A 24777-nucleotide genomic window follows, 5' to 3' on the forward strand; every position below is an offset into this window, starting at 1 on the left:
AGGGCCAGGGGTTAAGGGGCTGCCTCTGAAGTGGTGGAGAGCACAAGGCTGCAGCTAGAAGCTGGGCCTCTTGTGAGATTTGCTTTATTTTATGTCTTCTCTGTCCTATTCCTGTGATGGAAAACTGCAAAAGCCAAGTCTAAAAGCTGATCCGTGGGAGTCTGGAAGCCTAAGACTGCTTTTGGCGGCTTCCTGCAGATATCAGAAGCAGCCTGGGCTATAAAATAAACTAGCAATGCTGCAATGCCTGTCCCTTCTTGGAGTCAGGGGCAGTGTTAGTGTATTTCCTCAAGGTCTAAATTATCCACCCTTGTAATAAGGCTAGGATTTCATCTTTTCCCTGAGTAATTTTCCAGACTTTATAAAAATTAAAAAGCTTTATCACACTTTTTTTTATTCCTTCAAGGAGTCAAATAATCATTATTTTTTCTCTATATATCCCACTTTCTTCCTAATTCATTTCTCTTTTCTAGATTCTAGTTGTCTTTTGGGTCCTTGTCAGGCACTGCTGTGCCTCCTACTTGATAGGTGCCATGTACCTGGTTGCAGGCTGCCACCCTATTAGCTCTAGCCACTCCCATAATACACTGCTTTTCTACCATGCAGCAGGTAAACATAAATATATGCAAATCTTGCCTGCTTAAATTTGTCTATGAATTTTCCTAGAACCTCTGAAAACTATTTTAGTCTTTCCTTGCATATGGCTAATTCAGACATAGTAAAGGGTACATATACCTATAGAGTGTCCCTATTATCACCTGTCACTTCCCAGAGAGGGCAAAAATTCAACTTTGTCAGCTGATAAGAGGGCCCACTGCAGGTTGTTCTTGTGAAGCTCGGGTGTTTCGAGAGCGGGGTATGTATGTAAGACACGACTCGAAGGGCAGGGAGAAGATGATGACTGGACACTAGATAACCCTGGAATACTAGAAGGAATTAATAACATGTTGCACACCTCAACAGAACTGGAAGGAGTCTGACTGTGTTCTTATTGGGTGCTTGGACTGGCAGGGGAGAGTTCAGCCCCAGCTAAGAAAAGCCTAATATTAAGAGGCACTTGCATTAAAAGGGTAATCAATTATGAGCCATCCCTATTTTGTCTTTTCCTCCATCGAACATATAGAAGCCCATTTTAATTTTTTATCCTGACCAAGCATTAGAGAAGCCTGTATATAATATATTTCCTCCCACTTAGTTTCTCTTCTGTAAAACTAATTAAGCTTCAAAAAAAGGAGTCAGACCAAACAGGGGAAATGAGAAGGCTGTAACTTGTGTATTGTAATGTATGAGTCCATTTTCGCACTGCCATGACAAAACTGACAAAAATCTTTCAGGGAAAAAGTGACATGCTGGGTGGGTTTAGAAAGTAGGGTCCAGCTGCGCTACACCAGCTCATCAAAGATGACCTTATGGTTAAGAAATGAGAGAAAACTGTTAAGAAAAAGTTTCATGTTCTCCATCTTGAGGCTAATCATTTGCAGAGGATTGTCATAAAAGAGGCTGTCACTAAACAGGCATATATGAACTTATCATGTAGGGCTGTTAAATATCACATTCCAACTTCTAGTCATAATGATGGAGAGGTTATTGCTGATTTTTTCTGATAATTAAGGTACAAAAATACTAGGTTCCAAGACATCTCTTTTTTTCAGTGTCACTTGGATCAGTGGCAAATTAAATAAGCAATCAGCTAAAAGTCAGAGGGTCATTGAGGAAAGTAAAAGCTAAACTGTTTGGGGCCTCTTTCCTGGGGCAGCCTATAGGCTACCACAAAACACAGGCAGTGAGCAGAAAGGTGACAAGATGCAGAGCACTCAGGTGAGGGACAGAGAGCACAAGGTGGACAGTCCAAAAAGAGAAAGTGGCAAACATCTTGTTTAGCCAAATCCATTCTTCTCAATATACCCCAGGGACTCTAACCTTGTAAGCTTGGCCTCTAATCTGAGTATGACACCCCCAACTCTCTAACTTTTTGGACTGAGTCTCTCACCTGAACATTATACCCTAGGGTCTCTCACTTAACGTAATGGTGGATAATCATTCTTGCCCACCTGAATGGCTTCACGACTCTAAAAGATGGCCCACTTGCCAGCTGATTGATTCTGTGTGGAATGTTTTCCTTGGAGTAGGGGTCTTGTCTTGGTGTCCCTTCATGGTGTTGCTGAAAAATGTTGCTGGAAGAGCGTCCTGATACAGAGCACAAAGTAGGATTCTTAGATCATGTGCAGGAAAAAATTTGAGGTGAGTCAGAGAGCACAGTGAAAGAAGCAAGTTTATTAGAAATGACTCCATTACAGAGTTGGACACCCTCAGAAAACAAGAGCAGGAATGTGTTGTCTTTTGTTAGTGTCTCTACTTATAAGTAACTATAAAGAGAAAGAATTCTAATTAAACTTGGAAGGTGCAGATGTACTCACTAAAGTCAGGGGCTATTGGTTTTAACAATGACCATTAACCTGTTGACCTAAGCTAGCTCATTTATATTATCTTTAAGAAAAAATGCTGCACTCCTAGGACATTTACACATTTTTCAGGCTTGGTGGAAGATGTCTTATATGGCCATAAATGTTCTGCAATTGTAATTTATGGCCAGCTAAAAAATGTGGCTATTTTCAGACCATAAGTATTAACCTTCTAGATGCCTTGTGAGTACCTAGGTACTCATATTAACATTGAATATTCTAGTCATGTTTATTAAACTAGAAGCTTGGTAACCATGAGTTCCTCTAACACAGCAAGTCTACTTCTCAAGGACAAAGTGTATTTCTCAGGAATTTTGTGCATTTTGTTTGTTGGAATTTGGTATGTTTACCAAAATGGCAGAAAAGGGTGAAATTAGTCCTCAAAGATTTCTCAGGATTGGATGTAAAGTAAACAAAGTGATTATAGTTAATATGCAAGTTGATACAGTTGATATTCAAAAGAAATTTTGTTTGAAACACAATGAGAGTTTAATTAATTAATTATTATTATTACTATTTTGTGACAGAGTCTTTCTCTGTTGCCCTGGCTGGAGTGCAGTGCACCATCTTGGCTCACTGAAACCTCTGCCTCCCAGGTTCAATCGATTCTCCTGCCTCAGCCTCCCAAGTAGCTGCGATTACAGGCATGCATCACCACACCCAGCTAATTTTTGTATCTTTAGAAGAGACGGGGTTTCACTCTGTTGGCCAGGTTGGTCTCAAACCCCTGACAAAAAGTGATCTGCCCACCTTGGCCTCCCAAATTGCTGGGATTACAGGCATGAGCCACCACTCCCAGCCACAATGAAGTTTTTAAATAATTCTAACTGATTTCCTGCTGTTGAGCAGGGAGCTGAGCAAATTCAACAGATCATGGGCCTAAAGTAGAAGACTGAGGAGAAACTCTGGAACACATGTGATTAAATTAATTACAATTGAAATCAAATCAAATTTAATAAGGTTGTACCTCTTAGTTTCAAGATGTTTCCCATCATTTTGAAATGTGGTGTCATTCAGTGGAAAAGAAAAATAGTGTTTATGTCCAGAGTAAAGAAAGGGGTTCCCTGCAGGGATTGATTGACTGAGAGCTATGGCTCAGGATTAAAAATTCTTCTTTTTTCCACTTATAAACTAAAAATTAATCTCTAAGCCCCTACTGACTAAATGGACCCCTCTTCTTGGATAAGGACATTTTAAAGTTAACCTGAAAACTAGTTCAAGCCATGGGTCACACATGCCTCATTATACTCTCGTCCTCTCTTTGGTTTTAATTTTAATTTTTAATTTATTTTTGTGGGTACATAGCCAGTGTATATATATATGGGGGTACATGGCATACTTTGATACAGGCATGCAATGAGTAATACATAATAAAAAATGGGGTATCCATCCCCTCAAGAATTTATAGCTTGTGTTATAAACAATCCAATTATACTCTTTTAGTTTTTATAAAATGTAAATATTATTTTTGACTATAATCACCCTGTTGTGCTATCAAATACTGTCTTATTCATTCTTTCTAACAATTTTTTGCACACATTTAGCATCCCCACTATTCCCCTCTACCCCCACTGCCCTTCCCAGCCTCTGGTAACCACCTTTATACTCTCTATCTCTATGACACCAATTGTTTTGAATTTTAGCACCCACAAATAAGTGAGAACATGTGACATTTGTCTTTCTGTACCTGACTTATTTAACTTAACACAAAGACTTTCAGTTCCATTTATGTTATTGCAAATGACAGACTCTCATTCTTTCTTATAGCTGAATAGTACTCCATTGTGTATATGTACCACATTTTCTCTATCCAGTCATCTGTTTATGGAAATTTAGGTTTCTTCCAAATCTTGGCTATTTCTAGCATTTGTTTTTGACTGACTTCTGGATAAAAGCCACCTTAACTGGGGTGAAATGATATCTCATTTTGGGTTTGATTTGCATTTCTATGATGATCAGTAATGTGGAGCACCTTTTCATTTGCCTGTTTACCATTTGTCTGTCTTGTTTCCATAAATGTCTACTTAAATTTTTTGTCCACTCTTTAATTAGATTACTACATTTTTTCTGTAGAATTTTTTGAACTCAATATATTGCAGTATATTAGTCTGTTTCTACACTGCTATAAAAAAACAGACACTGGGTTATTTATTTATCTATTTATTTATTGAGATGAAGACTTGCTCTGTCGCCTAGGCTAGAGTGCAGTGGTATGATCTTGGCTCACCGCAACCTCTGCCTCCCGGGTTCAAGCAATTCTGTGCCTCAGCCTCCTGAGTAGCTGGGATTACATTACAGGCACCGCCCACCATGCCCAGCTAGTTTTTGTACTTTTAGTAGAGACAGGGTTTCACCATCTTGGCCAGGCTGGTCTTGAACTCCTGACCTTATGATCCACCTGCCTCGGCCTCCCAAAGTGCTGGGATTATAGGTGTGAGCCACTGCACCTGGTGAAAAATTTTTAAGGAAATAGGTTTAATTGACTCATAGTTCCACATGGCTGGGGAGACCTCAGGAAACTTACAGTCACGGCAGGAGGGGAAGCAGGCACCTCTTATATGAAAGCAGGCGAGACAGCATGTATGTGAAGCAAAGGGGTAAGAGCCCCTTATAAAACCATCAGATCTCAGGAGAACTCACTAATTATCAGAAGAACAGCATGGGGGAAACTACTTCCATGATCCAATCATCTTCTACCAGGTCTCTCCCTCAACATCTGGAGATTACAATTCAATATGAGATTCGGATGGGGACGCAAAGCCTAATCATATCATGTAGCTATTAATTGCTTTTCAGATGGGTAATTTAAAAATATTTTCTCCCTTTCTGTGGATTTTCTCTTCACTTTGTTTATTGTTTCCTTCACTTTGAAAAAGCTTTCTGACTTGCTGTAACTCCATCTGTCCATGTTTGCTTTGGTTGTCTGTGCTTACGGGGCATTATTTAAGAATTTTTTTGCCCAAACCAATGCCCTAGAGAGTTTCTCCAATGTTTTCTTGTAGAAGTTTGATAGTATGAGGTGTTAGGTTTAAGTCTTTAATTCACTTTAATTTGATTTTTGTATGTGGCAAGAAATAGGGTTCTAGTTTCATTCTTCTGCCTATGGCTTGCCAGTTTTCCCAGCCCTATTTATTACAGAAACTGTCTTATTTTTTATTGTATGTTCTTGTTGAAAATAAGTTTAGTTTAGCTGTATGAGTTTGTTTTGTTGAAAATAAGTTTAGTTTAGCTGTATGAGTTTGTTTCTAAGTTTTCTATTTCATTCCATTTGTCTTTATGTCTGTTTTTATTCTAGTGTCATGCTGTTTTAATTACTATAGCTTGATAGTATAGCTTGATAGTATAATTACTATAGCTTGATAGTATAATTTAAAACCAGGTAATGGGATTCCTCCAGTTTTATTTTACGTACTCAGCATAGCTTTGACTATTATGGTGTTTTGTGGTTCCATATATATTTCAGAATTTTTTTTCTATTTCTGTGAGGAATGTCATTGTTATTTTGATAGAGATGGCATGAAATGTATAGGTTGCTATGGATTGTATGGACATTTTTAAAAATACTGATTCTTCCAATCTGTGAACAAAGAAATATCTTTCCATTTTTTTGTGTGTCCTCTTTCATTTCTTTTATCAGTGTTTTACAGTTTTAATTGTTGAGAACTTTTATTTCTTTGGTAAATTCCCATACATTATGTTTTATTTGTGGCTATTGCAAATAGGAATATTTTTTAAATTCTCTTTCAGCTTGTTGACTGTTGGCATATAGAAATCCTACTGATTTTTATATGTTGATTTTGTATTCTGCAAATTTACTCGTTATTTCTTCTAATAGTTTTTTGGTGGATATATTAGACCATTCTCACATTGCTACAAAAATAATTGGTGACTGGTTAATTTATAAAGAAAATAGGTTTAATTAGCTCATGTTCTACAGGCTGTACGGAAAGCATAGCACTGGCTTCTGCTTCTGGGGAAGCCTCTGACAACTGACAATCAAGGTGAAAAATAAATCTGGTGCTTGCACATCACATGGTAAGTGTGAGGGCAGGGGAAAAATGCTACACACACTTGTAGATGACCAGCTCTCCTGAAAACTTACTATTGTGGGAATGGTACCAAAGGAAATGATGCCAAACTATTCATGGAAATCCTGCCCTCATGATTCAATCACCTCCCCACTAGGCCCACTTCCAACATTGAGGATTACATTTCAATATAAGATTTTGGTGGGAACACATAACCAAACTATATCATTTTGCCACTGGCCATTCCAAATCTCATATCCTTCTCATATTTCAAAATACAATCATGACTTCTCAATAATCCCCAAAGTCTTAACTCATTTCAGCCTTAACTCAAAAGTCAAAAGTCTCACCTAAGACAAAGCTAGTTTCTTACTCCTATAAGCCTATAAAATAAAAAAAAAGTTAGGTACTTCCAAGATAAAAATGGGACATAGGCATTGGGTAAATACTCCTATTCTAAAAGGAAGAAATCAGCTAAAAGGAAGGGTCCACAGCACCCATGCAAGTCTGAAACCCAGAATGGGAGTTATTGAATTGTTAGGCTCCAAAATAATTATTTTTGACTCTATGTCCCATTTCCAGGGCACACTAATGTCTTGGGAAGTTTTGACCTTTTGGCTTTGCATGGTTCAGCCTGCACAGCTGCTCTCATGGGCTGGTATTGTGTGCCTCTGGCTGGTTTTGTGTTCCTCTGGCTTTTCCAGGTGCAAGGTGTAAGCTGTAGCTAGATCTACCATTCTGGGGTCTGGAGGACAGTGATCCTCTCCTCACAGAATCCTCTCCTCACTAGGCCATGCCCCAGTGGGGGACCTACATGGGGACTGTAACCCCACATTTCTTCTCTGCATTGTTTCAGTAGAAGTTCTCAATGAGGGCTCCACCCCTGCAGCATGCTTCTGCCTGCACACTCTGGCTTTTTCATACATCCTTTGAAATAAACGTGGAGGCTCCCAAATCTCAACTCTTGCATTTTGTACACCCTCAGGCCTAACATCACATGAAAGCTACCAAGGCTTATGGCTTGCACCCTCTGAAGCAGTGACTATAGTTGTAACTGGGCCAATTTGCACTACACCTGGAGCTGGAGCAGTGACCAGGATGCAGGGAGCCATGTTCCAAGGCTACCCAAGGCAGCAGGTCCTGGGCCTGGTCCCAGAAACTATTCTTTTCTTTTAGGCCCCAGGGCCTGTGATGGGGGGCTGCCTCTTAGGTAGATAAAATGCTTTCAATTCCTCTTTCCCATTGCCTTGGCCATCAACACTTGCTTTCTTTTTTTTTTTTTTAGGTTATACAAATATCTCTAATAAGTGGTTCTTCCACAGCCTGCTTGATTTCCTCTCTTATAAAAGCTTTTTATTTTTCTGCCACTTGACTAGGCTGCAAAGTTTTCAAGATTTTACACTATGCTTCCCTTGTAAGTATAAGTTACAACTTTTTTTTTTCTCCAACATCTGAGCATAGGTGGTTAGAAGCAGCCAGGCCACATCTTGAATGCTTTGCTGCTTAGACATTTTTCCAACAGAAACCCTAAATCATCACTTTCAAATTCAAACTTTTATATATCCCTAGGGCATGACAGAAATTCAGCCAACCAGTTTGCTAAGATGACATGCATGACCTTTGCTTTGGTCCTAATAAGTTTCTAATTTTCATCTGAGACCTCCTCAGCCCAGGCTTCACTGTCCAGATCACTATCAGCATTTTGGTCACAGCCATACAACCAGTCTCTAAGAAAATCTCAACTTTCTGTCATTTTTCTGTCTTCTTCTGGGTCCTACAAACTCTTCCAACCTCTGCCTGTTTACTCAATTACAAAGCTGATTCCACATTTTCAGTTATTCTTATAACAATTTTCCACTCCTTGGTGCGAATTTTCTGTATTAATCTATTTTTGCATCACTATAAATACCTGAGACTGTGTAATTTATCTTTTAAAAAGGAGGTTTAAGTGGCCCATGATTCTACAGGCTGTAGAGAAGATGTAGCACTGGTATACACTTCTGGGGAGGCCTCTGGGAGTTTACAGTCATGGCAGAAGTTGAAGCAGAATCTTGCACATCACAGGGCAAAAAGCAAGAACAAAAAACAGAGAGGCACGTTGTTACACACTTTTAAATAACCAGATCTTATGGGAACTCACTCACTATCATTGAAGGTGTGGCCTGCCCCTCCACACCTGTGGGTATTTCTAGTTGGGTGGGACAAGAGACTGAGAAAAGAAATAAGACACAGAGACAAAGTATAGAGAAACAACAGTGGGCCCAGGGGACCAGCACTCAGGACACCAAGGACCTGCACTGGCACTGGCCTCTGAGTTCCCTCAGTTTTTACTGATTATTGTTTTCATTATTTCAGCAAAAAGGAATGTAGTAGGAGAGCAGGGTGATAATAAGGAGAAGGTCAACAAAAAACATGTGAGCAAAAGAATTTATATCATAATTAAGTTCAAGGGAAGGTACTATGCCTGGACATGCACGTAGGCCAGATTTATGCTTCTGTCCACCCAAACATCTCAGCGGAGTAAAGAATAACAAGGCAGCATTACTGCAAACATGTCTCGCCTCCCACCACAGGGCAGCTTTTCTCCTATCTCAGAGGTGAACAAATGTACAATCGGGTTTTACACCGAGACATTCAGTTCCCAGGGGCAAGCAGGAGACAATGGCCTTCCTTCATCTCAACTGCAAGAGGCTTTCCTCTTTTACTAATCCACCTCAGCACAGACCCCTTACTGGTGTTGGGCTGGTGGACAGTCAGGTCTTTTTCATCCCATGAGGCCATATTTCAGACTATCATATGGGGAGAAACCTTGGACAATATCCCGCTTCCAAGGGCAGAGGTCCCTGCGGCTTTCCACAGTGCATTGTGCCCCTGGTTTATTGAGACTAGAGAATGGCAATGACTTTTACCAAGTATACTGCTTGTAAACATTTTGTTAACAAGGCACATCCTGCACAGCCCTGGATCCCTTAAACCTTGATTTTATACAACACATGTTTTTGTGAACTCCAGGTTGGGTCAAAGTGGCTGGGGCAAAGTGGCTGGGTCAAAGCTACAAATTAACAACATCTCAGCAAAGCAATTGTTTAAAGTACAGGTCTTTTTCAAAATGGAGTCTCTTATGTCTTCCCTTTCTACATAGACACAGTGACAGTCTGATCTCTCTTTCTTTTCCCTACAATCATGAGGATAGTACCAAATGGGATGGTGCTAAGCCATTTATGAGTATTCCACCCCGTTGGTTATATCACCTTTCACCAGGCCCACCTCCAACATTGAGAATTACATTTAAATATGAAATGTGGGAGGGGACACACATTCAAACCCTATCAGGGGAGTCTTTATGTTTTTTTTCAAATAGAAGATTGTATCATTGGCAAAAAAGATAATTTGACTTCTTTTCCAATTGGGATGGTTTTATTGCTTTCTCTTATCTGATTGCTCCAGATAGGACTTTCAGAATTATGTTGAATAACAGTGGTAAAAGTGGATATTCTTGTCATCTTCCAGATTTTAGAGAAAAGGATTTTAGTTTTTCCCCACTTAGTATGATACTAGCTATGGGTCTGCCATATATGACTTTTATTATGTTGAGGTATGTTCATTCCATACCCAGTTTTCAAAGGTTTTTATTATTAAAGAGTATTAAGTTTTATCAAATTTTTAGTATAATTGAAATGATTATATGGATTTTGTCCTTCATTCTGTTTTATTTATTATTTATTTATTTATTTATTTATTTTTTTGAGATGAAGTCTCCTTCTGTCACCCAGGCTGGAGTGCAATGGCATGATCTTGGCTCACTGTAACCTCCATCTCCAGGGTTCAAGTGATTCTCCTGTCTCAGCCTCCCAAGAAGCTGGTATTACATTTGCCCACCATAGCACCTGTCTAATTTTTGTATTTTTAGTAGAGATGGGGTTTCACCATGTTGGCCAGGACGGTTTTGAACTCCTGACCTCAGATGACCCGCCCACCTCAGCTTCCCAAAGCACTGGGATTGCAGGCATGAGCCACTGCACCCAACCCCTTCATTCTGTTTATATGATATATCACATTGATTGATTTGCATGTTGAACCATCCTTGCATCTCTGGGATAAATCCCACTTGGTCATTATGACTTACCTATTTATGTGTTGTTTAATGCAGTTTGCTAGGATTTTTGCAAATTTTTGCATCAATATTCTCAGATATGGGCCCGTAGTTTGCTTTTTTAATGTGCCTTTGTCTGGTTTTGATATCAGTGTATTACTAGCCTCAAAGAATGAGTTTGGAAATTTTCTTTCCTTATCTATTTTTCAGTCTGGTCCTACAGACTTTTTATTATGGGTTTAGTTTTGTTACTTGTTATGGGTCTGTTAGGGTTTTGGATTTTTTCCTAGTTCAATCTTGGTAAGTTGTGTGTGTCAAAGAAGTAATTTCCTCTAGGTTTTCTAATTTGTTGGCATACGATTGCTCATAGTAGCCACTAATGATCCTTTGATTTTTTGAAGCGTTACTTGCATTGTCTCCATTTTCACCTCTGATTTTATTAATTTGTATCTTCTCTGTCTAAATATTTGTCAATTGTTTTACTTTTCAAAAAAATCAACTTTTTGTTTCATTGATCGTTGGCATTGTTGTCTTCATTTTAACTTTATTTCTGCTCTAATCTCTATTATTTCTTTTCTTCTAATTTTGAGTTTGGTTTGGCCTTTTTATTCTAGTTAATTAAGGTGTATTGTTAGGTTATTTATTTGAGGCTTTTCTGTTTTTTATGTAGGCACTTACAGTTATAAATTTTCCTTTCATAATAGTAGCTCTTTTACTATATTCCATAGGTTTTACTATGCTATGTTTTAATTATTATTTGTTTCAAGAAATTTTTCTATTTTCTTTTTAACTTTTTTATTGACATACTGATTATTCAGGAACATATTATTTAATGTCCAAGTGTTTGTATAGTTTCTGAAATTCATTGTTTAATTTGTTTCTAGTTTTATTCCATTGTGTTCAGAGAAAATGCTTGATATTACTTCAATGTTTTTTGAATGTTTTTAGACTTGTTACTTAACATATGGTCTATCCTTGAGAATAACCCATGTGCTGAGGAGAAGAATGTGTATTCTGCAACTGTCAGATGAAATTTGCTGTAAATATATATTAGGTTCATTTGTTCTATAGGGCAGATTAAGTCTGATGTTTCTTTGTTGATTTTCTGTCTGGAAGGTCTATAAAATGACTAAAGTGGGGTGTTGATGTGACCAGCCATTATTGTATTGAGGTCTCTTTCTTTAGCTCTTATAATATTTGCTTCATTTATCTAAGTGCTTTAATGTTGGGTGTGTATATGTTTCCAGTTATTATGTCCTCTTGATGAACTGATCTCTTTATTATTATAGAATGACCTTCTTAATCTCTTCCTACAATCTTTTGTTGAAATCTATTTTTGTCTGCTATAAGTATAGCTATTTCTGCTCTTTTTTGGTTTCTATTGGATAGAATAACTTTTTCCAGCCTTTTATTTTCAGTCTAAATGTATCTTTACAGGTAAAGTATATTTTATTTTTTTGGGTCACAAATTGTTGTCTTGCTCCTCTATCCGTTCATCCACTATTTGTCTTTTGATTGGAGTATTTAGTTCATTTACATTCAATGTTATTATTGATAAGCACTTACTCCTGCCATTTTGTTATTTGTTTTCTGATTGATTTTTGTCCTCTTATCCTTCTTTTCTTTCTTCCTGTCTTCCTTTTATTGAAGGTTATTTCTCTTATAATATAATCTAATTTCTTGCTTTTTACTTTATGTACATCTGTGGCATGCTTTTTGATTTGAAATTATCATAAGGCTTGAAAATAATGTAACACATCATTTTAAACTGTGGACAATTTAACACTGATTGCATAAATGAAGAAACAAGAAAAGCAACTGATAAAAACTCTACACTTTAATTTCATTGTCATTCTTTTAAACTTTTTATTGTTTTTCTCATTCCCTGTTTTGCTGTCTATGTCTTGGAAATATGTTGTAGTTTTTTTTATTGATTTATTGTTTACTCTTTCTATTTGAGATTTTTGCACACCATAATTACCATGTTATAATATTCTGTGTTTTTCCGTGTGCTATGACTAGTGAGTTTTGTACCTTCAGATGATTTCTTATTGCTCACTCACTTTTTTTCTTTGAGATTAAGAACTCCCTTTAGCATTTCTTGTAGGACAGGTCTGGTGTTAATGAAATCCCTCAGTTTTTGTTCATCGGGGAAAGTTCTTATTTCTCCATCAAGTTTAAAGGACGTTTTTGCAAGATACATTATTCTAAAGTAAAAGTCTTTTTTTTTCTTCAGTTGTTTAAATATATCATGCCACTCTCTCAGCCTGTAAATTTTCCCCTGAAAAGTCTGCTGTCAAAGGTATTGGAGTTCCACTGAATTTTATTTGTTTCTCTTTTCTCACTGCTTTTAGAATCGTTTCTTTATCCTTAACCTTTGGGAGTTCAGTTAAGTACCTTGAAGTGGTCTTCTCTGGGTTAAATCTGCTTGATGTTCTGTAACTTTCTTGTACTCGAATGTTGATATTGAATGTTGGGGAATTGTTTAATATTATTTAACACTATTTCTTTAAATAAATGTTTAACTCTTACCTCTTTGTCTACCTCCTTTTTAAGGCCAATAACTCTTAGATTTGCTATTTTGAGGCTATTTTTTAAATTTTGTAGGCATGCCTTATATTTTATTCTTTTTTGTCTCCTCTGACTTTGTATTTTCAAATAATCTGACTTCAAGTTTACTAAATCTATCTTCTTCTTGATCAATGCTTTTAAGTAATTCTGATGCATTCTTCACTATGACAATTGCATTTTAACCTCAAAATTTCTGGTTTATTCTTTTTATTTCAATCTCATTGTTAAATTTATCTGATAGAATTTTGAATTTTTTCTCTGTATTATATTGCATTTCTTTGAATTACCTCAACCAGCTATTTTGGATATCCTGTATGAAAGGTCACATATCTCTGTTTTTCCAGGATTTGTCCCTGGTGCCTTATTTAGCTTGTTTGGTGAGGTCATGTTTTCCTGGATGGTCTTGATACTTGTAGATGTTCATCTATATCTGAGCATTGAAGACTTCAGTCTTTATTGTAGTCTTCAGAGTCTGGGCTTGTTTGTGCCCATTATTTTTGGGAACACTTTCCAGATATTCAAAGAGACTTGGGTCCCAACCCAATAACACAGTAGTTTATGCAAACACATAGAGGTACTGACTTGGTGGCCTTGGATTAACATGAAGACAAATTCTCTTGATTTATCAAGTAGAGACTCTTGTTCTCTTCCCTTAATTTCTCTCAAACCAGCAGAGTCTCTCTTCCTGTGCTGAGGCATGTGGAGCTGGAGTTGGGTAACATAAGCACCCCTGTGGCCACTACCACTGAGACTGTGCTGATTCACACCTGAAGTAGGCACAGAACTTGGTCTCACCCAAGGCCCACTGTAACCACTGCTTGGCTACTGTATAAGTTTACTCAAAGCCCTAGGACTCTATGATTAATAGATGGCAAAGCCAGCCAAGTTTGTGTCTCTGCCTATAAGGTGGCAAGTTCCCCTAGCCATGAGTGGGTCCATAGATGCTATCTGGGAGCCAGAGATTAAAGTATAGAATCTTCACAATTTACCTGCTCTTCTATTTTACTGTAGCTAACCTGGCACTTAAGGCATAAGACAAAGCATTTTCTAATCTTCTTTCCCCTGTCTGCAGGCAAAGGAGCCTCTTCTATGACTGCCAACACCACCAGCCCATGGGGGAGTTCTGACAAATCATCAATTTCTCACTTAAAGCCCAAGGACATTTTAGTTATCTTATGATAAATTCTGCAATGCCTGGGACTCGACCTTTGCCCAAGGGCAAGTGCAGAAATGCTAACCGAGACCCTAGGCCTGGACTCAGGGACTCTAAGAATCTGCTTGGTGCTCTATCTTGTGGCTGAGCTGGTATATGAGGTGCAAAACAGAGTTCCTTTTACTTCCCCCCCTGCTTTTCTCAAACAGAAGTCTTTCACCATAGCTACCATAGCTGGAAATGTGCTGGGTCACACCTGAAGTTAGCACTTCTCAGAGCCCAATACCCATGGTATATTACCTGGGTATCACTGTTTTTTTATTCTGGGTATAGGGGTTCTTTAGTCAGCAGCTGATGAATTCTGCCAGGTCTTTACTGACATGGCAGCACTGAGTTTATGTAAAGGTCTCCAGTAACTATGCTCTCCCTCTCCCAAATTCACAGGTTTCTCTGTGTTGTGTGGCTGCTGCTGGGTGGGGGGTGGGGGAGTGGGGTTGTGAGCACTCCCTTAGCTGCTCTGGCTGGTGTCTCAGTAGGCCACATTCTCCCCACCTTCCACATTCGACTGGCTCAGAGCTCAGCTCAGCAGTATGACTTGCCTAATAATTGAAGTCCTTGTGGCCTAGACTGCCCCTTAAGTTCTCTTAGGGTCCAATAGCACTTCAACTCATGATGGCAAGGCTTGTAAAGACTCAAACTCCCAACACTGAGATGGGAGATTTTCCTCTTGCTAGGGCCAATCCAAATGCTCCCTCTATTGGCAGATGTCAGCTGAGTATTATTTGGTTCTGCTTTTTACTGTGACATGGTAGTACTGAGTTTATTGCAAAGCCTCACAAGTTGTGCTCTCCCTCTCCCAAACATACAATCTCTGCACCTTGTGGCCACTACTGGTGGTTGAAAAAGAGGTGGCATCGGTGTTTCTAGACTGTCATTTTTTTATCTTCTCCAATGTCTTTTTCAGTGATATGAAGTTAATACCAGGTACTGTGAGTGCTCACCTAATTTTTGGTCCCTTTGACAGTGCTTCTTGAATGTAGTGAGTTGTGAAAATTTTGTGTTTTTGTATGGGGATGAGTGGTGTAGGCTTCTATTCTGCCTTGTTACTCGGTCTCTGCCTTAAAATTTTAGATTCAAGGAGTACATTTGCAGGTTTTCTACGTGGATATATTGTGTGATGCTGAGCTATGTGGGATATTATTGATCCCATCACCACAGTAGTGAGCATATATTGTGGGATATAATTGATCCCATCACCAAGGTAGTGAGCATAGCACCAATAGTTTCTCACCCTCTGCCCTCCTCCTTCCCTCCTTCATCTAGTAGTTCTCAGTGTCTTCTGTTGATATCTTTATATTCATGAGTACCCCATGTTTAGATCCCACTTATAGGCAAGAGCCCGTGGTATTTGGTTTTCTGTTCCTGTATTAATTTCCTTAGGATAATGGCCTCCAGATGCATCCATGTTGCTGCACAGAACATGATTGTATCCTTTTTAATGTGTGCATAGTATCTTACGGTGTTTATGTGGCACATATTTCTATCCATTTTATTGATTCACACATAAGTTAATTCCATGCCTTCTCTAATGTGAATAGCAATATGATGAATATACAAGGTTTTGTTTTGTAGAATTTGTAATTTCCTTTTGGGTATATACTCAGTAATGGAATTGCTGGTTGAATGGCCCTTCTGTTTTAAATTCTTTGAAAAATCTCCAACCTGCTTTTCACAGTGGCTGAACTAACTTACGTTCTCACCACAGAATATAAGCATTTTATTTTCTCTGAAGTCTAACCAGAACTTGTTATTTTTTTACTTTTTAATAGTAGCCATACTGAATAATGAGATGGTGTCTTACATTGATTTGCATTTCTCTGATAATTAGTGATGTTGAACATTAAGAAAACCATGCCATTAAAACATTGACAAGGGACATAAGCAGACACTTCTCAAAAGAAGACATACAAGTGGGATTCTTATTCTGTCACAATAAGCTGCCTTTCCTTTGAAAAAATACAAAATCAAACCATTTGAAAAGTCACTTTAATTTTAGTGATTGACAGTATGTTTCCCCTTCTCTATCTCCTTTTCTCATTTGTGAATGTTTTTCTGATCATTATGAATCCACTCAGCAGAGTAACCTCCATTCTTAATATGTGTGAATTGTGCTGATGAGCTAGTCAGCTCTCTTAAAATCACCAACAAAAGAGTTTAAATTTCCTAATTAGTAATATATTTTTAGCATGCCACAGGATGCTCTTAGAACAATGACTTCTGGTCCAGGCATTATGGATTATGATGATTTGTTCTCTGGATTTCTATAAGCTTTGAAATTAAGAGGGATAAATCTAAACTAAATTTGACTTCATACTCTTTACACATTTATTGGTTTTGTTAATTATTCCATAGGAAAACAGACAAAAGGCTTTTGTAGAATTCAATTCTGTTTTAACATATTTAGGGTTACTAGAAGGGAATTATATTGATGTAATTGAGAGACTGAATTAACCTCAGTCATCACATGTGATTTTTCTAGAGTTTTTTTTAATGGTACTGACATTCTTTTCAGTATGTTAATGCCTAGCTTGGGTTTCTGGGAGAGACATGAGTAGCTAGTACAACCCATCTAAAACATGATGTTCATTAGTTGGAATAATGGTGTGATATGATAGTCTTCAAGATGATGCCCTCAATTTCTTTCCTCCCTGCATGCACATGCTGCTCTTTACATTGACAGGTAGAGTCTACTCTCCCATTTCTTGAACCTGTGCTGGTCACAATGACTTGCTTTACCAATAGGATGCAGCAGAAGTCATATTCTAGAACCTCCAAGGGTAGGTCATAAGAAGCTTTATAGTATTTGCCTGTGTGTCTTGGGACTAACTACCACATTGTGAGGACTCCAGGTAATATAGAGAGGTCAGATAGGCATCACACACAGTAGCCAATATGCACTGCCAGTCATCTGAGTAACCCATCTAGGCTCTTTAGCTTAGTTGAGTTTTCAGGTGACTTCAGCAGCAGCCAACCAACTTCAACTGCAAGAAAGACTCCAAAAGAGAACTTTTGTAGCGCCCACAAAACCATGAGAAATAATGTTAGTTAAAATTACTAAACAAATAATAACAATAAACAATATTAAACAATAAATAATTCCTTAAGTTTTGGGATGGCTTACTATTCATCAAGAGATAGCTAGAATAAGTACTAAATGTTGCACAATACTAAATAAGTGTAAGTTTAGTTGTGTAATATACTTCTATATTTTAAAGCCATTGACATTTTTGGACAGAGTGTAAAAGTGAGCACTGATTAAATAGCTCCCAAGAGAAATTGCCTGTTGTATCTCAACACCATCATTTACCAATGGGTATTTTGCTATTGGAAAATATATCCTGTAATGTTCATTTTAAAAAATACACTAACAATTTTTTAGAAAGGCATATGCTATTTTGAAAAAAAAATTGAAAGAACCAGAAAAATGTAAATTTTAAGCCTCTAATCATATTTATATGCTATTTAACCAATAAATCCAAAGTCTGATGGCAAATATGTTTATGTTACACTGATATTTGGATAAATAAGTTAAACAAACAGTTTTCTTTTTAAATGATAGGCCTTATAATTGGTACGATGTTGAGATGGCTGCAGTGAATAAGCTTATCATCATAATATTTTCTCTTTAATACTTTTTTAGAACATTAAGTGACAACCAGAGTCTAAAACTGGGTTGCATAGCAGGAATAAAATCAGAGTGACACTTATTTTGCAGCAGCAGTATTGGAATTCTTGCTGTTGGGGTTGGTAGTAGCAAGCTCAATTATAGGTGGATTCTGTTTCATGCTTAGATGGTGTGTTGGAACATTTCCTGTTTAGAACTTTCTATTTTAACACTTCCTGACTAGAGCTGTTTAAAATAGAAACAAACCCCTCAGATTTTGAATTTAGCCAATTTATTGTTATAATTTGTTCATATGTTTCTACTTTTTAGACTGTGGCTTTCATGTAGACAGAAATTGTATCTTATACCTCTTTTTCTTCAGCAGCAGTGTGCCTGGCACCTAGCTGAATTGTCAGGTTTGTTGAATAATTAAAGTAAAATTATACCAGAAGTAAACTATTAAATTTATCAATTTTACTCAGAAAACTTATAACTAAGTAAGATGTATGAATCAATGCACTCACTTATTCAACAAACATTTATTAAGTGACTACAGTAAGCTAGGAATATGGCAGTAAACAAATCTCACCTTTTCTCAAACTTCAGTGGATCCAGGAGTTTCTAGGTTTAATTCTTGCTCAATCAGCAATTCCTTTTCACTGAAGACTTGACAAGGTTTGAGAAGAGTGTGTGAACTCAGCAGATGTTTGTGATGCACCTATTGTGTGCCAGAAACTGTAGTGTCACAGGATCGGCCTGTCTCCTAGGAAAGGTGAACACTAAAAACATTATTTTAAGCAAAAAAAAAAAAAAAAATGCCAAGTATGCCAAGTGTTGGAGAGGGAAGCACTGGGTCCCAACAGTACAATGGGCACTGAGCCTAGCATGGGGTCCAGGCGTCTCTGGCATGGTGCCCTCCTAGGTCATGGTTGTCCCTCCTTGTTGCTCCTGCTGTCTCCTTCAGTTACATCTGCTTCTCTGCATTTCCTCATTTTACAGTGTGTGGGATGCAGTTATCTCTGAACAGGAATAGGCAACTATAACACCTGTTATGCTGTGCTTGATGCTCTGCATTGATGTACACTGGGCCCAGGTTTCCCTGGTGGACTGCTTTGGCTATTCTTGTCATCTAGCTCTGAAGTCTTTGTTCACTGAAGTGTACTTGTCAGATGGGGAAGCCAGAGATCTGGAGTCCTCTGTTGGGGTCACTCTCGCCCTGCTTATCTTCCCTGACATACCTAACAGATGAAGCTCAGGTGAGCAGTGCACGTCAGGCCACACTGTGGACCATGTACAATTCTTCAAGCTCCAGCTTTAACTCTCTTTCTTATTGCTCTCTTAGGACAGTATATTTAGATGGAAGTAAATGAAAATAATGTTATTAGGGGATAAGATTAAAGTCGATCTCATTTGTAAAAAAGGAAGTACATTGCTTGCGAACTGTAATGCTTTATTTTTAGTGAGAAATCACCTTAAAACTTGGAACCTGGATACAAGATAATTACTTCATTCTGCAAATGTTTAGTAGCAAACTATATGGCAGGACTGTACTAGGTACTAGGGATACATGGTTGAATATATAGTATAAGATGCCTTGGAGTTTCATATAATGGCTCATGCAGTATATAGACAGTGTGGTAAAGAGAGACTTCTGAGATGCACAGAGCACAGACTATAAAGGGTCTTTGATTGGTGGATAAATGTGTTTGGACGTTTCGTTCAGGGATGTTGAAGTTTTCGAAGGTCAGTTGTTTCAGGGTTTTGGCATTTTCAGGCCCTGCTGATCATCAATTGGCTCTGTCTGATCTAGCAATCCCACGGCTGGGTATCTACACAAAGGAAAAGAAATCAATGTATCAGAAAGATACCTGTACTCATATGTTTGTTGCAATACTATTCACAGTATCACAGATATAAAACCAACCAAAATGTCTATCAACAGATGATTGGAGAAAGAAAATGTAGAAAATATACACAATGAAATAATATTCAAGCATAAAAAAGAATAAAATCATAACTATTGCAGACACATGGATGGAACTGGACGCCATTATTGTAAGTGAAACAAGCCAGACACAGAGTAAACATGTTTTATCACTCATAAGTGGGTGCTAAAAGATGTGTAGGTATTGATATAGAGAGTGGAATGATAATGGAGACTCAGCAGGGTGAGGGGATGGAAGGGGCGAATAGTGAGAAATTACTTAATAGGTACAATGTGCACTATCCAGGTGATGGATACCCTAAAAGCCCTGACTTCACCACTATGCAATCCACGCTTACAGCAAAATTGGACTTGTAACCTATAAATTTATACACGAAAAGTCTCAGAACTCTCTCTCTTCTCTCATAAGCGTCAGAGCTCAGTGATCCCCTTGGATCTCCTCGGCCTTCTAAGTTTTGACTTTCCTACCTAGGTGATTTTGAGCACAGATAAGGGAGTGTTTCAGGAAGATGCTCTCAGGCACACTGCTTCTGAAGAAACATTAGAGGCTCTTCTAGTGGCCTTTATCTAGTCACTGCTTTAAGCAAGGAATAAAACATCTGTGGCTAAAATTTTAAAAACTGTGTTTCCTACCCACCCTTCAAACCTGACAGAAGAGATTTTAGAATTTTAAGGGAACAGCTTTTTCCTGACCCAAAAGGGCATAGTAGTGCAAAGGCCAATGTCACGGAAGTACCTTTTCCCCACCTGTAACATAACTCTCAACTACTATTCCCACAGCTGCAATCAGTACAATGTTTTGACTGAGGTATTGGAAAAGCCTATGAGCTCATTATCATTTGAACATATGAGTAATGTAAAATTTAGACAGAATTTTATTTGAAAGGATTATTTATGCAATTTTTATTTAACTGATTTATAATGTGGTTATTTTGAACAATAAAAATCAGGTTGTTATGTTGTAAGCTAGAAATATTTACAACACCACATGGTCTTGATTATCTCACATGATGAATTGAAGATTAAAGCAAAATAATTTATCTTAGGGAACTTCGTGACAATTTCTCAACTTTGCCTAATAATGACTTATAACTGTTATGCATATATAGAGAACTCCTGACTAAAGGGAATTTTTTTGACTATAGTGCTATGTTTTTTATTGTAACTTTTTTTTCTTTCTTTCTTTCTTTCTTTATTTATTTTTATTATTATACTTTAAGTTTTAGGGTACATGTGCACATTGTGCAGGTTAGTTACATATGTATACATGTGCCATGCTGGTGCGCTGCACCCACTATCTTGTCATCTAGCATTAGGTATATCTCCCAATGCTATCCCTCCCCCCTCCCCCCACCCCACAACAGTCCCCAGAGTGTGATGTTCCCCTTCCTGTGTCCATGTGATCTCATTGTTCAATTCCCACCTATGAGTGAGAATATTGTAACTTTTTAAGATCTGGAGGAACATATATTTAGTCTCAGTTGGCCAACTAAATGTTATGGAGTCGGCTTCTGTGTTATATGCAGAGTATTGAAGGAACAGTGGAGACAAGCCTGCTGCCCTTGCAGAGTCTGGGGGAGAAAACCTGATGGAGTGCAGCAGGGAACATGCTGGGAGCATCCCGGGATGCCAAAAGTGCACACAGATGGAACAACTGTCTTAGAACGGTGGAGGTTCAAACAAGGAGAGGTGTCAGGAAAAACAAGGAAAGTTTAATCTGCAGGAATAGAAACACACTTAAGAAATCCATGGGGAATGAAAAGAGAATGGCTGAGCAGCAGCAGATTGTCAAGAAGGAAACCAAGAAGAAGCAGCCAAAGAGGTTGATGGAGAATGAGGAGAAAGAAGGTGATACTGAAGCCAAGGAAAGGAAAGTGTTTCAATATTTCTGGAAAAAAAATCACATGCTCTGTCTTAAACTTGCTGTTTTGTGAGTCACATAGCCACGTTCTAGGTTCTGAGAAGTCCAGCACTAAAGATGTTTCTTTCAGTTTGCTTAACCCAGCATTTGCCAGAATAATCTGGGCTCAGTGTGAGTGTGTGCATGTGTGTGTGTGTGTGCCTGTGTGTTTCACTAATATCTCACTGGGGCTAGTGTTCTACACAACATAACTTTTAAAATACTAGTTTTACCCATCCTATGTTGAGCTGCAGCAATACTTACAAAGGTAAACTTTGATCATGTGTCTTAGTTACTAAAGAAAAGAAAACAAACTAATGAATAAAGCCCACCCTGCAGTGGCTCCTCACTACCTGTAGAGTGGAGCCCGCCTGGCTTGGCCTAGGTGCCCTGTGCTGACCTGGCCATGTTGCCATCTGCCTGCTTCTTTGCCTCCCCCTTTCCGCCTGGAGAAGGTAGGGATGCTCTGAGCTTTGGCCAGCATGGAACATGTGTCCTTCTCCTAAAGCGGACCATGTTTTCCTGAGTCCACTTTAATCTTTTTTTAAGGGTATAGATCAAACAATTTATATTTTCTGGCCTCTCCTTGTCTCCCTTTCCAGTCTCCAAACAGAGATCTGACCTTTCCTTAAAGCTTTATGGTCAGGTCTCACTCTGCATGCAGTTTTCCTGCCACTTCTGCAATGTACATACTTTACTGGTACATTAATTATGCTATACCAGCCGAGGTTTTTCATTTATGTATCATTTTGTATCACCTTCTTTTTTTTTCTTAGAGCTTAGTACACTTATTTATTCAGTCTTTCCACGATATAATTGTATGTCATATAATTTTATATTTATTTTCATTGGTATTTATATATCTTTTCTGTAAAAATGGAGACTTTCTAAATAGATCTTCATTAATGTTGAAAGAACAAAGTTTTAAGTCTTGGTCTCAGCCAAAAGGAGTTCCCCACATATCCAGAAGGGAATGAAACACTTGCATTGTTGCATTAGATATTCTTACAGAGAAAGAGAACCATGTGTAATGGAAAATTGCTAACTTTGCCTCAGGGAGACCAGGTTGATTCACTGAGAAAGTTTGAATTGCTTTAGAAAGCATGGTTCTGAGTTTTCTAGGAGAAGGAGAAAAGTTAGAATAGGGCATAAGAAGTAATGCCCACATCAAAGTTAGAAAGATCTCAAATTGACAACCTAGCATCACAACTGAAAGAATTAGAAAAGCAAGAAGAAATCAACCACAAAGCTTGCAGAAGACAAGAAATAACTAAAATCAGAGCTGAACTGAAAGAACTTGAGCCTAAAAAACTGTTCAAAAGATCACTTAAGGTTTTTTGAAAAAAATTAATAAGATAGATAGGCACTAGCTAGACTAATAAAGAAGAAAAGAAAGAAGATTCAAATAAACACAATTAGAAATGATGAAGGGAATGTTACCACTGACCCCACAGAAATAAAAATAATAATCAGGAACTACTATGAACACCTCTACACACACAAACTAGAAACCCTAGAAGAGATGATTAAATTCCTGGACACATACACCCCTCAAGACTGAACCAGGAAGAAATTCAGTATCTTAACAGACCAATAATGAGCTCAAAAAATTGAATCAGTAATAAATAGCCTACCAAACAAAAAAAAAAAAAAAAAAAAGCCCAGGACCTGACAGATTAACAGTCAAATTTTAACAGATGTACAAAGAAGAGCCAGTACCATTCCTACTAAAACTATTTCAAGAAATAGAGGAGGAGGGACTCCTCCCAACTTGTTCTACGAGGCCAGCATCATCCTGATACCAAAGCCTGGCAGTGACACAACAAAAAAAGAAAGCTTCAGGCCAGTATCCTTGATGAACATTCATTCAATAATCCACAACAAAATCCTTGCAAACCAAATCCAGCAGCACATCAAAAGGGTAATTCGCCACAGCGAAGTAGGCTTCTTCCCTGGAATGGAAGATTGGTCCATCATGGACAAATCAATAAAATGTGATTCATAACATAAATAAAACTAAAGACAAGAACCACATGATTGACTCAGTAGATGCAGAAAAGGTTTTCAGTAAAATTCAACAATGCTTCATGTTAAAAACTCTCAATAAATGAGCTATTGAAGGAACATACCTCAAAATAATAAAAGCCATCTATGACAAACTCACAGCCAACATTATACTAAATGGGCAAAATCTGGAAGAATTCTCCTTGAAACCCACACAAGACAAGGATGCCCTCTCTCACCACTCCTACTCAACATAGTATTAGAAGTTCTTACTGGAGCAATCAGATAAGAGAAAGAAATAAAGGGTATTTAAATAGAAAGCGAAGTCCAACTGCCTCTGTTTGGAGACAACATAATTCTCTAGCTAAACCGTACAGTTGTGACCCAAAAGGCTCCTTAAGCTGATAAACAACTTCCACATGGTTTCAGTATACAAAATCAATGTACAAAATTTGCTAGCATCCCTATATACCAAGAAGAGCCAAACTGAGAGACAAATCAGAAAGGCAATTTTATTCACAATTTCCACAAAAAGAATAAAATACCTAGGAATACAGCTAACCAGGGAGGTGAAAGATCTCTACAATAAAAATTACAAAACACTGCTCAAACATGTGAGAGAAGACACAAACAAATGAAAAATCATTTCATGCTAATGGAGAGAAAGAACGAATATCATTTAAATGGCCATACTGCCCAAAGCTATTCCTATTAAACTACCAATGACTTGCTTCACGGAACTAGAAAAAGCTATTTAAAAATTCATATAGCACCAAGAAAAAACCTAACTAGCTAAGGCAATCCTAAGCAAAAGGAACAAAGCTTGAGGCATCACATTGCCCGACTTCAAACCATAGTACAGCACTACAGTAACCAAAACAGCATGGTATTTGTACGGAAAGACACACACACCAATGGAACAGAATAAAGATCCCAGAAATAAGACCACACACCTAC

General features: G+C 37.9%; 1 long non-coding RNA gene across 1 annotated transcript in view; it reads right to left on the reverse strand.

Moving 5' to 3' along the window:
- Positions 1–19404: 19404 nt before the first annotated feature.
- The window catches only part of LINC02963 (long intergenic non-protein coding RNA 2963), a 28175-nt gene continuing 22802 nt past the window's right edge, over positions 19405–24777 (reverse strand). Inside the window, exon 5 of the long non-coding RNA NR_185896.1 lies at positions 19405–19800. This is a non-coding gene — a long non-coding RNA (long intergenic non-protein coding RNA 2963). The remainder of the gene's footprint in view (positions 19801–24777) is intronic.

The sequence above is a fragment of the Homo sapiens genome, chromosome 12 (assembly GCF_000001405.40).
Source record: "Homo sapiens chromosome 12, GRCh38.p14 Primary Assembly".
In the NCBI taxonomy this organism is placed as follows: domain Eukaryota; kingdom Metazoa; phylum Chordata; class Mammalia; order Primates; family Hominidae; genus Homo; species Homo sapiens.